The sequence below is a fragment of the Homo sapiens genome, chromosome 3 (genome assembly GCF_000001405.40).
Source record: "Homo sapiens chromosome 3, GRCh38.p14 Primary Assembly".
Taxonomy (NCBI): domain Eukaryota; kingdom Metazoa; phylum Chordata; class Mammalia; order Primates; family Hominidae; genus Homo; species Homo sapiens.
The window spans coordinates 136,705,324-136,725,682 of record NC_000003.12 but is presented as its reverse complement, the minus strand read 5'-3'; the positions used below and the strand labels follow the sequence as shown (position 1 = coordinate 136,725,682).

Below are 20,359 nucleotides of genomic sequence, written 5' to 3'. Positions count from 1 at the left end.
CTTCTACCTTTATTTGTATTGCGTGGCATATGATAGGCTGTCCTTCTGCATGTGTCTCAGTAACAAAACATAATACAGCTTCATCTACTTGTGGCTGTTCTCATATCCCATAAGTCATCACTTTACTGTTGCTTTGCAAGAAAACATAGAATTGGCGTTATTACTAGCAATAATTAATACTTAACTTGCTAATACAGATTTTTTTTGTGCCTTTCTGCATACTTAATAACTTTTCAGTGCCAAATTGTAGAGTAGTATTTTGAAAGCAGTTAAACACAACATGCATGGAACCAGCAATGTTAATAGCTCAACTGATGATCATTGGTCAAGCTAGTCAGATTTTAGAAATAGGAAATAATTCTTTTGTCAGAAGACCTTATTTTAAACACACACACACACACACCCGTATAATTTTGTTTTCTAGTTCTTGCCTACTGAAGAGTGGTAATATTGATGTATAGAGTGACTCATTTGCTTAGGGTAAGATTTTTGGTAAAGGTTCACTAAGAAATTTAGAAGCTTCCTTAGTTGATTTAAAATACGGGAAAAAATATCACTAGATTTACACAGAAATGTTGAGGAACATCTAGATTTGCAATTATAATACTTTAAGTATTAGACTACTTCCATTTGGAACCTTTCTAGTTCACTTTAACAAGACAATTTGAATTGTCAGCCAGGAGCATTTCATTTTCTAAAATAAGAAGAAATGATACTTTGGTATAGAAGACCTATTCATGATTTTTTACATAGGTTTAATGTTTTTTTTTGAACAGACATTCACAGTCTCTTTTCAGCCTTATAGAGCTCTCTGGTATTACTGTTCTGTCCCAATGTATCATCCCCTCCTGCCTTTATTTTCTTAACTAGCTGAGAACCTTGTTTACCTCTCAAAATATGTTCATCTGCTTTGCATTTTTGTCTTTTCATTGCATTTGTCTAAAACCCAACCACATCACTTCATCTTTCTGACTTCTGTGTACCTGGCTCTGAGCTACTGAGCACAGCTGGAGAAAATAACAAACTTGCAGACTGGAGCCACTAAGTATTCATGCTCTCCAATCTTTTTTTTTTTTTTTTTTATTGATCATTCTTGGGTGTTTCTCACAGAGGGGGATTTGGCAGGGTCATAGGACAATAGTGGAGGGAGGGTCAGCAGATAAACAAGTGAACAAAGGTCTCTGGTTTTCCTATGCAGAGGACCCTGCGGCCTTCCTCAGTGTTTGTGTCCCTGGGTACTTGAGATTAGGGAGTGGTGATGACTCTTAACGAGCATGCTGCCTTCAAGCATCTGTTTAACAAAGCGCATCTTGCACCACCCTTAATCCATTTAACCCTGAGTGGACACAGCACATGTTTCAGAGAGCACAGGGTTGGGGGTAGGGTCACTGATCAACAGGATCACAAGGCAGAAAAATTTTTCTTAGTACAGAACAAAATGAAAAGTCTCCCGTGTCTACCTCTTTCTACACAGACATGGCAACCATCCGATTTCTCAATCCTTTCCCCGCCTTTCTCCCCTCCTCTATTCCACAAAACCGCCATTGTCATCATGGCCCGTTCTCAATGAGCTGTTGGGTACACCTCCCAGACGGGGTGGTGGCCGGGCAGAGGGGCTCCTCACTTCCCAGTAGGGGCGGCCGGGCAGAGGCGCCCCTCACCTCCCGGACGGGGCGGCTGGCTGTGCGGGGGGCTGACCCCCCCACCTCCCTCCTGGTCGGGGCGGCTGGCCTGGCGGGGGGCTGACCCCCCCACCTCACTCCCAGACGGGGCGACTGGCCGGGCGGGGGGCTGACTCCCCCACCACCCTCCCGGACGGGGCGGCTGGCCGGGCGGGGGGCTGACCCCCCCACCTCCCTCCCGGACGGGGCGGCTGGCCGGGCGGGGGGCTGACCCCCCCACCTCCTTCCCGGACGGGGCGGCTGGCCGGGCAGAGGGGCTCCTCACTTCCAAGTAGGTGCGGCCAGGCAGAGGCGCCCCTCACCTCCCAGACGGGGTGGCTGGCCGGGCGGGGGGCTGACCCCCCCACCTCCCTCCCGGACGGGGCGGCTGGCCGGGCAGGGGGCTGATCCCCCCACCTCCCTCCTGGACGGGGCGGCTGGCCTGGCGGGGGCTGACCCCCACTTCCCTCCCGGATGGGGTGGCTGCCGGGCAGAGACGCTCCTCACTTCCCAGATGGGGTGGCTGCCGGGCGGAGGGGCTCCTCACTTCTCATATGGGGCGGTTGCCAGGCAGAGGGTCTCCTCACTTCTCAGACGGGGCGGCTGGGCAGAGACGCTCCTCACCTCCCAGACGGGGTCGCGGCCGGGTAGAGGTGCTCCTCACATCCCAGACGGGGCGGCGGGGCAGAGGCGCTCCCCACATCTCAGACGATGGGCGGCCGGGCAGAGACGCTCCTCACTTCCTAGATGGGATGGCGGCCGGGAAGAGGCGCTCCTCATTTCCTAGATGGGATGGCAGCCGGGCAGAGACGCTCCTCACTTTCCAGACTGGGTAGCCAGGCAGAGGGGCTCCTCACGTCCCAGACGATGGGCGGCCGGGCAGAGATGCTCCTCACTTCCCAGACGGCGTTGCGGCCGGGCAGAGGCTGCAATCTCGGCACTTTGGGAGGCCAAGGCAGGCGGCTGGGAGGTGGAGGTTGTAGCGAGCGGAGATCACGCCACTGCACTCCAGCCTGGGCACCATTGAGCACTGAGTGAACCAGACTCCGTCTGCAATCCCGGCACCTCGGGAGGCCGAGGCTGGCGGATCACTCACAGTTAGGAGCTGGAGACCAGCCCGGCCAACACAGCGAAACCCCGTCTCCACCAAAAAAATACGAAAACCAGTCAGGCGTGGTGGCGCGCGCCTGCAATCGCAGGCACTCGGCAGGCTGAGGCAGGAGAATCAGGCAGGGAGGCTGCAGTGAGCCGAGATGGCAGCAGTACAGTCCAGCTTCGGCTCGGCATCAGTGGGAGACCGTGGAAAGAGAGGGAGAGGGAGACCGTGGGGAGAGGGAAAGGGGGGAGAGGGAGAGGGGAGAAGGGAGAGGGGAGAGGGAGGGGGAGAGGGAGAGGGAGAGGGAGAGGGAGAGTCATGCTCTCCAATCTTAATTGAACCCTCAGCATTACCCAGTAATTCTCCTTTGTTCCTAGTTTTTTCTCATTCCTCATACAGTTACTTAAAAACTTGTAATCTCCTATAGCCCCCTTACTTTACCACTTCCCTTCTCTTTTTCAGTAGATGACCTCATCTGTTCACTGTGAAACTTGAATTTAATTATTATTTTATTTCTGGGAGATGTTGAAAAAGTTTGAAATGAGACCACATAGACATCACCTTAACATTTGTGATGCATGTTGCTTGGAGGCATACAGAAAACTAAAGTATAAATTTTAGGACAAAAACGGAAAGATATATCTTTGTGGTAATTTTAGTGAGGCTACTATGAGGTAATTTTAGTACATCATTTTTTTTTCCTTTTTTTTGGAGACAGGATCTTGCTCTGTTGCCCAGGCTGGAATGCAGTCATGGCTTACTGCAGCCTCAACTTCCTGGGCTCAGGTGATCCTCCCATCTCAGCCTCCTAAGTAGCTGTTACCACAGGTGTGCACCACCATGCCTGGCTATTTTTTTGTATTTTTATTAGAGATGGGGTCTCACCATGTTGCCTTGGCTGGTCTCAAACTTGGAAGCTCAAGCGATCTGTCCTTCTTGGCCTCCCAAAGTGCTGGGATTACAGGTGTGAGCCACCACACCTAGCCCCATAGTGTAATTTTTTTTTTTTTTGAGATGGAGTCTAGCTCTGTTGCCCAGGCTGAAATGCAGTGGCACTCACTGCAAGCTCTGCCTCCCGGGTTCATGCCATTCTTCTGCCTCAGCCTCCCGAGTAGCTAGGACTATAGGTGCCCGCCACCACTCCCGGCTAATTTTTTGTATTTTTAGTAGAGACAGGGTTTCACCGTGTTAGCCAGGATGGTCTTGATCTCCTGACCTTGTGATTCACCCACTTCGGCCTCATCTCCTGACCTCGTGATCCGCCCGCCTCAGCCTCCTGAAGTGCTGGGATTACAGGCGAGAGTCACCGCGCCCGGCCCCATAGTGTAATTCTTAATACCACTTTTATAATGGAACCAAATTATTTAACTTCACCCCTTCTGATCTGTAAGCAATTTATTTCATTTCTTTTGATAAATAATGTAAAAAGAGTGCTCACTTTGGCAGCACATACACTAAAATGGGAACCATATAGAGATTAGCATGGCCTCTGTACTAAGAAAAAAATAATGTAAAAAGAGTATTAGATATTCAACAAGATTCTAAGATAAGGGGCTTCATTATTTTCGTTTACATATAAAATTAAAATGATTTACTTAGTTCCAAATTGAACTATTTGATTCTGTTATACTGCCTTCAGTATTATTTTTAAATCTTCTATTTCCCTTTTTTATCCAAATTCTGAGCGTTTCTCTTTATTGTGTCCTATCTTGATCTCTTGTCTGTAAGCTTATTATCTTTTTTGAAGACTTTCTCTGACTGCTTTATAAGACTGCAGAAAAATAATCATTGATTTTCCTGGCAGCTCAGGCTTTCTTGGTTTTATTTGGTTGACCTTTTATACACTTCCAATGTCTAAGGAAGGAACTGCTGGATTCGGAGAATGACTTGGATTCTAATCCAGATTAGTCAATTTATTAGCATCATGTGCTTCTGTAAATTACTTTTACCTCTCTGCGTCACTTGTATTGGTAATAAATAGGTATGTCTGTGTCATCTCAGAGCATATTGGCTAGCAAATGAGCTAATGTTAACAGTGCTCTGTAAACTATGAAATATGAATATAAGTGGTAGTTCTTTTGGGGGGACATTTTGTACATCCACAGATTTCTTTTCTTTTTCTTTTTCTTTTTTTTTTGAGATGGAATCTTGCTCTGTCACCCAGACTGGAGTACAATGGCACAATCTTGGCTCACTGCAACCTCCGCCTCCTGAGTTCTAGTGATTCTCCTGCCTCAACCTCCCGAGTAGCAGGATTACAGGCGCCAGCTATTATGCCCAGCTAATTTTTGTATTTTTAGTAGAGACAGGGTTTTGCCATGTTGGCCAGGCTGGACTTGAACTCCTGACCTCAGGTGATCTGCCTGCCTCGGCCTCCCAAAGTGCTGGTATTACAGGTGTGAGCCACCGTGCTCAGCCCAAGTTGGTTCATTTTAGTTGTGACTGTTATTGAGCTCAGATAGCTTGATAAATCTGTCTTCACTATAGCAGATCTGGGTCAGGACACATTCTCCTGGGACTGTGTTGGAGACAAACTGCCAAATTTAATTTGTTTGAATACTCCTCACCATTGAGTTAATTTGGTTTCAGCTTGATATAATCATTTACAAGATCTGGGTTCTGCTTCCCATGCCACCTATTTTGGATTTTATGTATTTACTTTGTTCATTCCACACAGATGGTTTATCTTGTTTCATTCTTCTTAATTTAATGCTCAGTGTTCACTTAAGATTTTTTTTTTTTTTTTTTTGAGACGGAATTTCGCTCTTGTTGCCCAGGCTGGAGTGCAATGGCGCGATCTCAGCTTACCACAACCTCTGCCTCCCGAGTTCAAGCGATTCTCCTACCTCAGCCTTCCGAGTAGCTGGGATTACAAGTATGCACTACCATGCCCAGCTAATTTTATATTTTCACTAGAGATGGGATTTCTCCGTAATGGTCATGCTGGTCTCGAACTCCTGGCCTCAGGTGACCTGCCCGCCTTGGCCTCCGAAAGTGCTGGGATTACAGGCATGAGCCACCGCTCCCGGACTCACTTCAGTTTTAAAAGAGCCACTTGTGGATTGGATTTATCCTTACAAAGTTGAGTGAGATATATATTGCTTCTAGTGCATTCTTGCTTTTGCATCTAGGAAGAGTATGGATTTTGCAGTCCATCCTAGATTGCCCTGTCAAGTATTTAGCTGAAACTTTGGAGCAAGTTACTTTTTTGAGATCGATCCATCCATCCATCCATCCACCCACCCACCCACCCACCCACCTACCCACCCACCCACCTACCCACCTACCCACCTACCCAGCCACCCACCTACCCACCCACCCATCCATCCACCCATCTACCCACTTATCATCCCAGAGGCACTGTAGTGCTGCCGCTCCTTGCTTTTCTGTTTTTCCTTGACAGATACGTTGAGGTATAATTTACATAACATAAAATTCTCCCATTTTAAGTGTACAATTCAGTGATGTTTAGTTAATTTGGAAAACTATGTAGCCAACACTACCTAATTTCAGAATACTTCTATCACCCCCCAAAGAAGAAAATCTGTGCCCATTTGTAGTCATTTCTCATTTTCTAATCTTAGGGTACTACTAATCTATTTTCTGTCTCTATAGATATGCTTTTTTGGGACATTTCATAAAATTGGAATCATTTATATGCTCTTATGTTTGGCTTTTATTTAGCAATGTTTTTGAGGATAATCCATGTTAAGGCATGTTTCAATACTTTCTTGTATTTTGAAGAGTTCTTCATTTTATTAATTTGTTTACTTCATGGACATTTGAGTTTCAAACATTTGGCTGTTGTGAATAATGCTGTGAACATTCATTTACAAGTCTTGGTGTAGACATATGTTTCATTCCTCTTTGGCAGATACCTAGGATTGGAATTGCTCGGTCATGTAGTAAATTTATGTTTAATATTTTAAGAAACCGCTAAATTGTTTTCCAGAATGGTTGTACTGTTTTGCCCCCTCCCTGCCTGCCTTTTTTTTATTTGAGGTAGAGCCCTGCTCTGTCACCCAGGATGGAGTGCAGTGGCGTGATCTTGGCTCACCGCAACCTCCGTCTCCCAGGTTCAAGTGATTCTCTTGCATCAGCCTCCCGAGTAGCTGGGATTACAGGCCCCCCCCACCACACTTGGCCAATTTTTTTGTATTCGTAGTAGAAATGGGGTTTTGCCATGTTGGCCAGGCTGGTCTCAAACTCCGGACCTCATGTGATCCACCCACCTTGGCCTCCCAAAGTGCTGGGATTACAGGCATGAGCCACCACGCCTGGCCACCTCTATTTATCTGAATATTTAAGATAACTATTTGATTAGAATTCAGTATCACATGACATTAGCTGTTACCATAGAAGAAGAATCATAGATAGCATCACAGGATTCTATTCCAGCTAGTAAAAAATAATAAAATACAAGTATGTCACATGCAAAAATGTAATGTTTAATGATTAAAACCTAGATTTCTACCAGGTGAGCATGATTGCTTGAAAATTTCACTTAAAGACACTCCTTAGAACAGTGTAAAAATGTATTATTAATTATTAAAAAAACTTTTAATTATGGAAAATTTCATACAATACAGATGAAGACAAAATAGTTTATTGCCTCCTCACATAATTTTTACCCAGCTTCAAAATTCACTCATTCCAGTTTTGTTTCATCTATACTCATACCTAGACTCTTCTCCCCAATATCGTAAAGATAAATATATTCCCATTATCACATCTAAAGCCTTCCATAATAATTCTTTACTAAGAATTGGTTACTTTTGATTAGTGAGATACAGAAATAAAAATTTCAATTTCTTTTTACCTTTGTTTAAAAATGGAAATATTTTGGAGTGGTTTTTTACAGTAAATACACGAGTCTGTGTGTGTATATGTTTTAAAGAAATCTCTTTAGGGATTTTAGGTCCTGTGCTTTCCTCCCCTTCTATCAGAAAAAGATTATAACAAAATTTTGAGGGTGTGGAGGCTGAGAGGATGTTTTCATTTGGTCCATTTACATGAGAATAAATAGCTTTAGAACATGGGATGAGGTCCAATTTGAATTCATTTTATTACTGCTTTAGAGGAATTATTTCTATCATTTGCATTAGAAATCCAATTGCTTTAAAATTAAATTCTAAATTTTACTTTCCATACGTGATTCCTTGTTTGGATTATGGATCTCACTGGATAGTCTGAGATCCATCATCTCTTTTCTGTGTTGTTTTCTGAAAACTACAATTTTTTTCCGTATTAATTAATTTATTGAGACAGAGTTTCACTCTTGTTGCCCAGGCTGGAGTGCAATGGCACGATCTCCGCTCACTGCACCCTCCACCTCCTGGGTGCAAGTGATTCTCCTGCCTCAGCCTCCCACGTAGCTGAGACTACAGGTGCCTGTCACCACACTCGGTTAATTTTTGTATTTTTAGTAGAAATAGGATTCTGCCATGTTGGCCAGGCTGGTCTCAAACTCCTGGTCTCAAGTGATCCACCTGCCTCGACCTCCCAAAGTGCTGGGATTACAAGCATGAGCCACCACACCCGACCTCCATATTATTTAGAATTGATTTCTCATTAGTAACAAAATGCTTTTAACACCAAAATCAATAACTGTTTATAGTAAATCTTGGCTTTGATTTTGTTCTATGTCTGATCTATATAGGCAGCTCTGCTTTTTTGAGCCTCAGTCCATATATAAAATAGGGATATTATAATATCATAAGATAATGAGAAGGTTAAGTGTGTGTAGATTTCTTTTGGTGGTGGGAATAGGTGTTGAGGCAGGGTTAACAATACCTTGTGGTTTTATGCAGTATGCATTTACAAAGAAGAGCAAAGAGAAATAGAACAGACAAAAACGATTAAGTGTTGCTGTGTACACGTTGCTGTTATAAACCATTTATGTAAATTCCCATTTGATCCCTGTGACAATGATGGTGGTATATGTTGTTGTTATCATTCCAAACCACAATTCGTAACTGTGAAGTAATTTACAGAAGATATGTATTGTTATCCTCACTTCATATATGAGGAAACTAGGCTTGGAAAAATATAGTAATTTGCAGAAAGTCTTACAATTAGTTAGTGCAGCTTTAATTGGAAAGTTTATGCTTCTTTTTACCACCATGGTATACTTTCCACTGTGGGCAGTTGTCTTATCAGGGAGGGAATGCAGTTGTTTTTGCTCTCCTTTTTTAAAGCACTGAAATGTTAGAGGTTACTTTGATAATTGGATTGGTTAGCTAATTAGAATATAGAGTTTTTTGTTTGTTTCTTTTTAAAGAGACAGGGTCTCACTTTAGTTGTCCCGGCTGAAGTGCATTGGTGCCATCATGGCTCACTGCACCTTCAGCCTCCTGGCCTGAAGAGCTCCTCCTGCCTCAGCTTCCCAAAGTGTTGGCATTACAAGCATGAGCCAGCGTGCCTGGCAGGAATGTAGTTCTTTTTTTCTTTTTTTTTCTTTTTTGAGATGGAGTTTTGCTCTGTCGCCCAGGCTGGAGTGCAGTGGCGTGATCTCGGCTCACTGCAACCGCTGCCTGTAGGGTTCAAATAATTCTACTGTCTCAGCCTCCCGAGTAGCTGGCACTGCAGGCACCCGCCACCATGCCTGGCTAATTTTTGTATTTTTTTTTAGTAGAGGTGGGGTTTCACTATATGTTAGTCAGGCTGGTTTTGAACTTCTGACCTCAGGTGATCCACCCATCTCAGCCTCCCAAAGTGGTGGGATTACAGGTGTGAGCCACTGTGCCCGCCATGACTTAAGTGAGATGAACCATGAAAAGTGAACCATGAAAATTCAATTTATGTTTTTAATTTTTATTATTATTTTTTGAGATGAAGTCTCTCTGTGTCGCCCACACTGGAGTGCAGTGGCGCCATCGTGGCTCATTGCAATCTCCACCTCCCAGGTTCAAGCAATTCTCTTGCTTCAGCCTGCTGAGTAGCTGGGACTACTGGCATGCACCACTACACTGGCTAATTTTTTTTATTTTTAGTAGAAACAGCGTTTTGCCACGTTGGCCAGGCTGGTCTCGAACTCCTCACCTCAGGTGATCTGCCTGCCTTGGCCTCCCAAAGTGGTGGGATTACAGGCATGAGCCACTGTGCCTGGCCATCATTTCAGTTTATATATATGTTTTATACATACTTTAAAAAAAAAAAACTACAGTAGTTATTGATAATGTCTGGTAGGTTTTTCCCATTTATTTGCCTTTTGTAAAAACGTTTTTCACAATTCCCTTTTATTGTGAAATAAAACACATAAAGTTAATTAGATATAAATATACTGCTTAAAAATTTTTTTCTTTTTTGAAATGGAGTCTTGTTCTGTCACCAGGCTGGAGTGCAGTGGTGTGATCTCGGCTCACTGCAACCTCTGCCTCCCGGGTTCAAGAAATTCTCCTGCCTCAGCCTCCTAAGTAGTTGGCACTACAGGTGTGTACCACCATGCCTGGCTAATTTTTTGTATTTTTAGTAGAGACGTGGTTTCACTGTGTTAGCCAGGGTGATCTCCATGTCCTGACCTCATGATCCGCCTGCCTTGGCCTCCCAAAGTGTTGGGATAATAGGCGTGAGCCACTGCACCGGGCCTAAATAATTATTATAAACACAAACTAGCCCTGGTGCAGTGGCTCATACCTGTCATCCCAACACTTTGGGAGGCTGTGGCGAAAGGATTACTTGAGCCCTGGAGTTTGAGACTAGCTTGAGTAACATAGCAAGACCCTGTCTCTATTTAAATTAAAAAAAAAAAAAAAGTTAAAAAACCCCACATACACAAATTTTATCTGGGTCAAGAACCAGAATGTCAGCACCACCGAACTCTCTTACTGTGCGCCCCTTTGTATTTCATACGGTACCCTCCCTTTCCTCTAAAAGAACAATTATCTTGACTTTTATTTTATATATATATTTTATATATATATTATATATATAAAATATATATATAAAAATATATATATAAAATATATATATATATATATATATATATTTAATATATATATTTGTTTTTTTTTTTTTTTGAGATGGGGCTTGCTCCTTTGCCCAGGCTGGAGTGCAGTGGCATAATCATGACTCACTGCAGCCTTGACCTCCCAGGTTCAAGTGATCTTGCCATCTCAGTCTCCCAGGTAGCTGAGAATATAGGCATGTGCCACCATGCCCAGCTAATTTATTTTATTTATTTATTTATTTTTATTTTTGAGACGGAGTCTCGCTGTGTCACCCAGGCTGGAGTGCAGTGGCACGATCTTGGCTCACTGCAAGCTCCGCCTCCTGGGTTCATGCCATTCTCCTGCCTCAGCCTCCCAAGTAGCTGGGACTACAGGCGCCCGCCACCACGCCCGGCTAATTTTTTGTATTTTTAGTAGAGACGGGGTTTCATCATGTTAGGCAGGATGGTCTTGATCTCCTGACCTCGTGATCCACCTGCCTCGGCCTCCCAAAGCGCTGGGATTACAGGCGTGAGCCACCACGCCCGGCCTAATTTTCTTATTTTTCCTAGAGATGAGTTCTCGGTACGTTGCCAGGATTCTCAGACTCCTAGGTTTAAACGATCCTCCTGCCTTGGTGACCCAAAGTGCTGAGATTACAAGTGTGAGCTACTGTGCTTGGCCAGTTCTCTTGTTCTTAAAAAATATTTTCACACCCTAAGTCTTTATTGCTAAATACTGTGGTTTGACGTTCTGTTTTTGAGCTTCACATAGATGAAATTACACTTTTTTGGGGGGTAGGGCCTTGCTTTGTTGCTCAGACGGGAGTGCAGGCTCTGTTTCTCAGGCTGGAGTGCGGTGATGCAATCATGGCTCTGGGCAGCCTCCACCTCCTGGGTTCAAGTGGTTCTTCCTGAGCATGAGCCACCTTGCCCTGCTAATTTTCAATTTTTTGTTCTTTTTTTGTTTTTTTTGAGAGAGAGTCTTGCTCTGTTGCCCAGGCTGGAGTGCAACGGCACGATCTTGGCTCACTGCAACCTCTGCCTCCTGGGTTCCAGTGATTCTCCCTGCCTCAGGCACCCGAGTAGCTGGGATTACAGGTGCCTGCCACCATGCCCAGCTAATTTTTGTATTTTTAATAGAGACGAGGTTTCTTCATGTTGGCTAGGGCGGTCTTAAATTTCTGACCTCAGGTAATCTGCCCATTGTGGCCTCCCAAAGCGCTGGGATTAAAGGCTTGAGCCACAGCGCCCAGCCAAGTTATAAATTTTTTGTAGAGACAGGATCTTGCTATATTGCCCAGGCTGGTCTCTAACTCCTGGCCTCAAGTGATTCTCCTGCCTCAGTCTCCTAAAGTGTTGGGATTACAAATGCTAGTTACCGTGCTTCCCCACAGTGTATTTTTTTTTTTTTTTGAGGTGGAGTTTCGCTCTGTTTCCCAGGCTAGAGTGCAGTGGCATGATCTCGGCTCAGTGCAACTTCCACCTCCCGGATTCAAGCGATTCTTCTGCCTCAGCCTCCCGAGTAGCTGGGATTACAGGTATGCACCACCACGCCCGGCTAATTGTTGCATTTTTAGTAGAGTCGGGATTTTACCACGTTGGTTAGACTGGTCTTGAACTCCTGACCTCAAGTGATTGTCCCGCCTTGGCCTCCCAAAGTGCTGGGATTACAGGAGTGAGCCACCATGCTTGGCTGCACACTATTTTTTGTGTCTTGCTTCCTTGGCTCAGCATTGTTTGTGAGATTCATCCATGTTGTGGGACCCGTAGTTCATTTTTAGGAACTATATACTTGTGTGATTACGCCACATTTATCCATTCTATTCTTGATGGATATTACATTATTTTTAGTTTGGGACCATTGTAAGTATTACTGCTGAGAACACTCTTGTGGTTTTGTTTTGAGACGGAGTTTTGCTTTTGTTGCCCTGCCTGGAGTGCAGTGGCGCAATCTTGGCTCACTGCAACCTCTGCCTCCCGGGTTCCAAGTGGTTCTCCTGCCTCAGCCTCCTGAGTAGCTGGGATGACAGGCACCCGCCACTGTGCCTGGCTAATTTTTGTATTTTTCGTAGAGATGAAGTTTCGCCATGTTGGCCAGGCTGGTCTCAAACTCCTGACCTCAGGTGATCCACCTGCCTCAGCCTCCCAGAGTGCTGGGATTACAGGCATGAGCCACCGTGCCCGGCCTCATATGTGTTTTTTAATGCACATGTGAAGCCATTTCTGTTGGATATATATCTAAGATCGAAATCTCTTGGTCATAAGGTATGTTGTTAGTAGAAAAGGCCAAATTGTTTTCCAGAGTGGTTTTACTGAACTTTTCTTCCAACAGCAGCATGTGAGAATTCCCTTTTATATTCTCCTGAGTGCACATTATTGCCAATCTTTTAAAATTGTAGCCATTTTTGATGGCTTTAATTTGCACTATCTCTGGCTACTAATGAGTTTGAGCATCTCAGTGCTGACCATTTTGATGTCCTATTCTGTGAAGTGATTGTTCTCATCACTTATCTATTTTTATTTTTAATTAATGCATATTTTGATTCATAGGAGCTTTTTATATATTCTTAATATAAGGCATTTGTCAGTTTAAGTAGGTTACTTATGTCTTCTCCCATTCTGTAGTTTGCCTGTGGTGCCTTTTTATATGGTATCTTTTGGTGCAGAAAAGTTCTCTGTAGGCTGGGTGCGGTGGCTCACACCTGTAATCCCAGCACTTTTGGAGGCCGAGGCAGTTGGATCATGAGGTCAGGAGATCGAGACCATCCTGGCTAATGTGATGAAATTCTGTCTCTACTAAAATACAAAAAATTAGCTGGGTGTGGTGGCGTGCGCCTGTAATCCCAGTTACTCAGGAGGCTGAGGCAGGGGAATCGCTTGAATTGGGTAGGCAGAGGTTGCAGTGAGCCGAGATCATGCCACTGCATTCCAGCCTGGCGACAGAGCAAGAGTCCATCTCAAAAACAAACAAACAAAAAAAGTTATCTGAATAGGTACATACGTCAGGTTTTTTTCCGTTAAACAGTGCTTTTTTGTGTTCTGTTTTAAAATTTTTTTTCTTCCTTGGAGGTAATGGAGTTATTCACATCATCTATAAATTTTATTTACTTCTCTCATTTAGATATGTAATATGTAATTCACCTGGAATAGATTTTTGTGTGTGTGTAGTTTTTAGGTCAAGTTTTATTTTTTTTTCAAATGGATATCCAGTTGTTCCAGCACCATTTATGAATAAACAAACAAAAAAACTTTTGCCATCACTCTGGAGTGTTGTGTTTTCATAAGTCATGTCCATAGATGCATGCTATGTGTCTGGGCCTTTATCCTGTTACATTAGTCTGTCTAGCCTTGTACCAATATCACTGCCTCATTTATTGAGCTTAATAAAATAAATCTAAATATCCTGTAGAATAAGTATCCTTTTTTTTTTTCCTTGAAACATGCTCTCGCTCTGTTTCCCAGGCTGGCGTGCAGTAGCGTGATAACAGTGTACTGTAGCCTTGACCTCCTGGGCTTATACGATCCTCCTGTCTCAGCCTCCCGAGTAGCTGGGACCGTAGGTGTGAGCCACCATGCCTGGCTAATTTTTAAAATTATTTGTAGAGACGAGAGCTCCCTATGTTACTCAGGCTGCCCAGCTTGTTCTTTTTAAAGATTTGCTAGTCTGTTCTTTTGCATTTCCATGTACATTTTAGAATCACTGCATTAATTTCTCCCCCTAAGTAAACAGAGTAACCAACTTAACCTCCAACCAAACCACAGAATCTTTTGGACTTTTGGTTGGGATTATACTGTTGCCTTAGATCAATTTTGGAATGGGCAGAATTGACATCCTTTATGGTTTTCTAGTTAGAAGTCTTGCATATCTTTTGTTAGATTTATTCTTAGATACTTGATTTTCTTATGCCATAGTAAGTATATATATATATATATATTTTTCTTTTTGTAAGTGGGATTTCAGAAATTGTCATACTTTAACCAGGAGTTTTATAGCAAAGGTTTTTGTGAAAAATTATATTCTATAATAGGTTTAAGTCATTGTCTAAAGCATCTCCAGTATTTATAAAGCCAAAGGGAGTCCAGGATGGTACACAAATAATGCTTCTGATGGTGTCATTTTCCTTTTTGTTTTCAAGCAGGACTGGGTAAAGTATCATATATTGAAATACAAACACAATAACATGACCATTTCACTTCATTTTTTTTTTGGTAGGGGGACTTTGGCATTTAGTTTCATTTATGGTTTTAATCTATTCATGAAAGTAGTTGGTTAAATAAAATGGTTTATTTACTATTTTTAAGTTTTAGATTTTTCTTCTTGGCAAACTTTATTTTGGGTTAGGTAGTTTCTTCGCTCGATGGTTGGAGGGGGGAGGGGCTATAATTAAACCAACATCGAAGTGAAATACAGTATGCACATTGCAATCTTGTTTCAGTGGAAGTGAAGTAAAAAGACTTGAAATTCTGGTACTATGGAAAAGAAGCAAAGTACCGGGTAGGCTTAATACTGCATAGTGTTGTGTGTGAGAGAGACAGAAAAATGCTTATTTCTGAATACTTGAACCAGAGCTTTGGAATTGGAGCACTGTAATAGAGAGGAAGAAAAGGATCAGAATACAGGGAAAATGAAATAGCATGGAGAAGAGAATGATAAAACAAAATTTTAACAGCTTAGTTTCTGGAAAACCATTATAAAATCAGACTGTATTACTGTGTGAAAGTTGATAAGCATTTTTATAAAAACTTAATGTTGGAATTGTGTTTGGGTGAACTTTTCTGGGTCTTAAGGACAGGTTATCCAGAAAGGAAGGAAAAAGAACAAAAACCCCAGCATGTTTCCAGGGGTATATGTAGCCCCCCAAAAATGCTGTTGTATTGTTTTATGAATAAAGTCTGATACTTATCTGGAGTTCCCAATCCCTCCTCCCCACCTTTTAAAAATTTATTTTATTTTATTTTTTGAGATGGGGTCTCACTCTGTTGCCCAGGCTGGAGTGCAGTGTTGCAATTTTGGCTGACTGAAACCTCTGCCTCCTGGGTTCAAGCGATTCTCATGCCTTAGCCTTCCCAGTAGCTGGGATTACAGGTGTGTGCCACCATGCCCAGCTAATTTTTGTATTTTTAGTGGAGATGAGGTTTCACCATGTTGGCCAGGCTGGTCTCCAACTCTTGACTTCAGGTGATCCACACACTTTGGCCTCCCAAAGTGCTGGGATTACAGGCATGAGCTACCTTGTCCGGCCCCCCACCTTCTTTCTTTAGAGAGAGGGTCTTGTTCTGTTGCCCAGGCTGGAATGAGGTGGCTTGGTTATAACTTACTGTAGCCTTGAACTCCTGGGATCAAGTGATCTTCCTACCTCAGTCTCCCTAGTAGCCGGGACAACGGGTGTATGCCACCATGCCTAGCTAATTTTATTTTATTTTTTTAGAGATGGGTCTCATGATGTTGCCCAGGCTGGTCTTGAACTCCTGACCTCAAGCAGTCCTCCTGCCTCGACCTCCCAAATTGCTGTGATTATAGGAGTGAGCTGGGCCCCTTCATTGATTAGAGAAAAATTCACCAAAACTCAGAAATAACTGGAGTTCTTCTATGTAAATGATATGGTAACCTGCTTTCCTATATAATAAATTTGTCTTCATTTAAGTTAGTTATAAATTAGGCAGCCTGGGCAACATAATGAGACCCTGTCTTTTTTTGTTTTTTTTGAGACAGAGTCTCGCTCTGTCGCCCAGGCTGGAGTGCAGTGGCATGATCTCGGCTCACTTCAGCCTCCACCTCTCGGGTTCATGTGAATCTCCTGCCTCAGCCTCCTGAGTAGCTGGGACTACAGGCATGCGCCAGCACATCCAGCTAATTCTTTTATTTTTAGCAGAGACAGGGTTTCACCATGTTGGTCAGGCTGGTCTTGAACCCCTGACCTCATGTGATCCACCCATCTCAGCCTCCCAAAGTGGTGGGATTACAGATGTGAACCACCGCACCTGGCTGAGACCCTGTCTTTAAAAAAAAAAAAAAAAAAAAAAAAAAGCCAGCTGCAGTGGTACATGCCTGTGGTCCAACTACTTGGGAGGCTGAGGTGGGAGGGTTGATTCAGCCTCGAAGGTTGAGGCTGCAGTGAGCTGTGATTGTGCCACTGTACCCCAACTTAAATAATTGTCAGGATTTACTACATGTTACAAAACTTCCATGACTTTTAACTATAAATAACTTGTTGACGAATGGGATGGGAGGGGTGAAACTAAGCACCTAACAATTTTAAGTAGCTATATAGTAGTAATACCAACATAGTAAGCCTAGAAACTGTTTATTTCATATTAGTGTTTGATACTTCATACTGGCTTTCCAGTACTGAGTCTTTTTTTATTGAGATGAAATTCACATAACATATATTTAACCATTTTGAAGTATACCATTTAGTGTCATTTAGTGCAATTGTGTTGTTGTGCAATCATCTCTAGTTTCAAAATGTTTTCATTATACCAAAAGAGCATCTCATATCCGTAAGTAATAACTTCCTATTTCCTTGACACCCTCCCCCCCAGTCTCCTGGCAATCACTAATATGCTTTCTATCTCTATGGATTTGCTTATTTATTATATTTCTTATAAATAAAATTATATAATATTTGGCTTCTTTTACTTAGTGTCATGTTTTCAATGTTTATCGAAGTTATAGCATATATTAGTACTTAATTTTTATGGCTAAATAACATTCAATTGTATGTATATACCACATTTATTTCTTAGTTCATTTGTTGATGCACCTTTTGGCTATTATGAATAATGCTGCTATTAACATTTATGTACAAATTGCTGTGTGGATATATATTTTAATTTTTCTTGGGTGTATACCTAGAAGTGGAATTTCTGGATCATGTGGTAATTCTGTTTATCTTTTTGAGAAATGCCAAATTGTTCTCGACAGTGGCTGGCATCATTTTACATTTCTACTAGCAATGTATGAGAGTTCCTATTCCTTCACATCCTTGCTAACACTTGCTGTTTTCCTTTTTTTTAAAAAAATATAGCCGCCTGCTATTGTTTGAATATGATTTGTTTGTACCACCAAAACTCATGTTGAAATTTGATCCCCAGTGTGGTGATATTGGGAGGTGGGACCTATTGGGAGGTATTTGGGTTATGAGGGCAGATCCTTCATGAATTGCTGGTGCTGTTCTCACTGTAGTGAGTGAATTCTTGCTTTCTAGAGACTGTATTAATTCTTGAGGGAATGGATTAATTCCGGCAAGAGTGTGTTGTTGTAAAGCCGCGACATCCCTCACACTTTCCCCTCTTTGCATGTGTCCACTTCCCCATTGACCTTTTCTGCCATGTTGTAAAGTAGCACAAAAGCTGTCGCCAGAAGCTAGGGCCATGCCCTTGAACCCTTGAACTTCTCAGGCTGCAGAACCATGAAACTTCTTTTCATTATAAATTACCAGTCAGGTATTCTGTTATAAGCAACACAAAATGGACTAATACCCTATTCTAAAGTTTGTAAAGTAGTATCTTTTTGTGGTTTTGACTTGCATTCTTTTAATGACCGATGAAGTTGAACATTTTTTCATGTGCTTGTTGGCCATTCGTTTATCTTCTTTGGAAAAATGTCTTTTCAAGTCCTTTGCCCATTTGTAAATTGGATTGTTTGTCTTTTGTTGTTGAGTTGTAAGAGTTCTTTATGTAGTCTGGATACTGGACCCGTAAGTATTTTCTCTCATTTTGTGAGTTGTCTTTTAACTTTCTTGATAATGTCCTTTGATGCACAAAGCTTTTAAGTTTGACAAGGTCCAGTTTATATAATTTTTCTTTAGGTACATGGGCTTTTGGTGTCATGTAAGAAACCATTTCCAAATTCAGTGGAGTAGGTTACTTCTATGTTTTCTCTTAAGAGTTTATAAGAGCTTATAATTTTAGCCTTTATATTTAGGCCACTGATCCATTTTGATTTAATTTTTAGTATGGCGTGAGGTAAGGGTCCAACTTCATTCTTTTGCTTGTGGGTATCACATTATCCCAATACCATTTGTTGAAGAGACTATTTCTTCCCCGTTGAATTGTCGTGTACCCTTGTCAAAAATCAGTTGACCATAGAGTGTATTTTTGAACTCTCATTCTATTCCATTGGTCTATATTTCTGTCCTTATGCGAATACCACACTGTTTTGACTCCCTTGGCTTTGTAGTAAATTTGAAATTGGAAAGTTTTAGTCTCAAATTTTATTGTGCTTTTTCAATATTATTTTGACTGTTTGGGACCCCTTGCAATTCTGTATGAGTTTGAGGATTGGACTTTCCATTTTTGCAAAAAAGTCCATTGGAATTTTTATAGGGGTTGCACCGAATCTGTACGTTGTTTTGGAGAGTATTGCCATTTTAACAATATTAAATGATCTAATTGGGGAATGTTAGATGTCTTTCCATTTAATTAAGTCTTAATTTCTTTTAACAGTGTTTTATAGTTCTCTGCAAATCTTTCACCTTCTTGGTTAAATTTGTTTTTAGATATTTTAATTTTTGGATGTTATCATAAATTTGTTTTCTTTCCTTTTTGGATTATTATGTGTAGGAACACAACTGATTTATGTATATTGATCTTATACCCTGCAACTTTGCTCAATTTTTTTATCAGTTTAGTGGGAATTTTTTGTTGATTCTTTGGAATATTTTATATATAGGATTGTGTCATGTGCGACTAGAGATAGTTACACTTCATCCTTTCCAATATGAATGCCTTTAAATTCTTTTCTTGCCTGGCTAGCAGTGTTGAAAGTGGGCTTCTTGTCTTATTTCTGATGTTAGAGGGACAGCTTTTAGTTATTCACCATTGAGTATGATGTTAACTGTAGGCTTTTCATAAATGCATCTTATCACATTAAGCTCCCTTTTATTGCTGGTTTCCTGAGTTTTTTGTTTGTTTGTTTATTTCTGAGACAGGGTCTCACTCTGTCTTCCAGACTGGAGTGCAGTGGCATGATCATGGCTTATGGTAGCCTTGATCTCCTGTGCCCAAGTGATCCTCCCACCTTGGCCTCTGTCTGGGCAAGACAGGCTGTTGTTGAACTCCTGGGCTCAAGTGATCCTCCCACCTTGGCCTCTCGGTATGCTGGGATTATAGGCATGAGCCATTGTGTCTGGCCATTTGTTTGTTTTTTAGCCTGATAATATGTTGTATTAGTTCATTCTCACACTGCTAATAAAGACAAACCTGAGACTGGGTAATTTATAAAGGAAAGAAGTTTAATTGACTCAATTCCAAATGGCTGGGGATGCTTTAGAATCATGGCAGAAGACAAAGGAGGAGTAAAGTCACATCTGACATGGCAATAGGCAAAGAGAGCATGTGCAGGAAAGCTCTTCTTTATAAAACCATCAGATCTCATGAGACTTATATTCATTATCACGAGAACAGCATGGGAAAGACCCACCCCCATGATTCAATTACCTCCCATCTTTCCTTCCTACAATACATGGGAATTATGGGAGCTACAATACAATACGTGGGAATTATGGGAGCTACAATTCAGGATCTGGGTGGGGACACAGCAAAACAATATCATACGTTGAACTTCGTTGTGTGTGTGTGTGTGTGTGTGTGTGTGTGTGTGTGTGTGTGTGTGTTTGATGATCATGTGATATTTTTCCTTCTGTTAATATCATGTATTACATTGATTGA

The 20,359-nt window shown here is 42.1% G+C and overlaps 1 protein-coding gene and 1 pseudogene across 2 annotated transcripts in view, besides 1 other annotated feature; both read left to right on the top strand.

The window, feature by feature from the left end:
- Positions 1-20,359, top strand: part of STAG1 (STAG1 cohesin complex component) — a 416,143-nt gene that overhangs the window by 26,696 nt on the left and 369,088 nt on the right. The window lies entirely within an intron of this gene.
- Positions 970-1,596: an enhancer, noted in NCBI's record as "NANOG-H3K27ac hESC enhancer chr3:136442929-136443555 (GRCh37/hg19 assembly coordinates)". NCBI's record gives its function as "activates a minimal SCP1, AML or CMV promoter by ChIP-STARR-seq in naive H9 embryonic stem cells {active_cell/tissue: H9 hESC(naive)}" and the evidence as "EXISTENCE:reporter gene assay evidence [ECO:0000049][PMID:30033119]".
- Positions 4,188-4,289, top strand: RNU6-789P (RNA, U6 small nuclear 789, pseudogene; annotated as a pseudogene).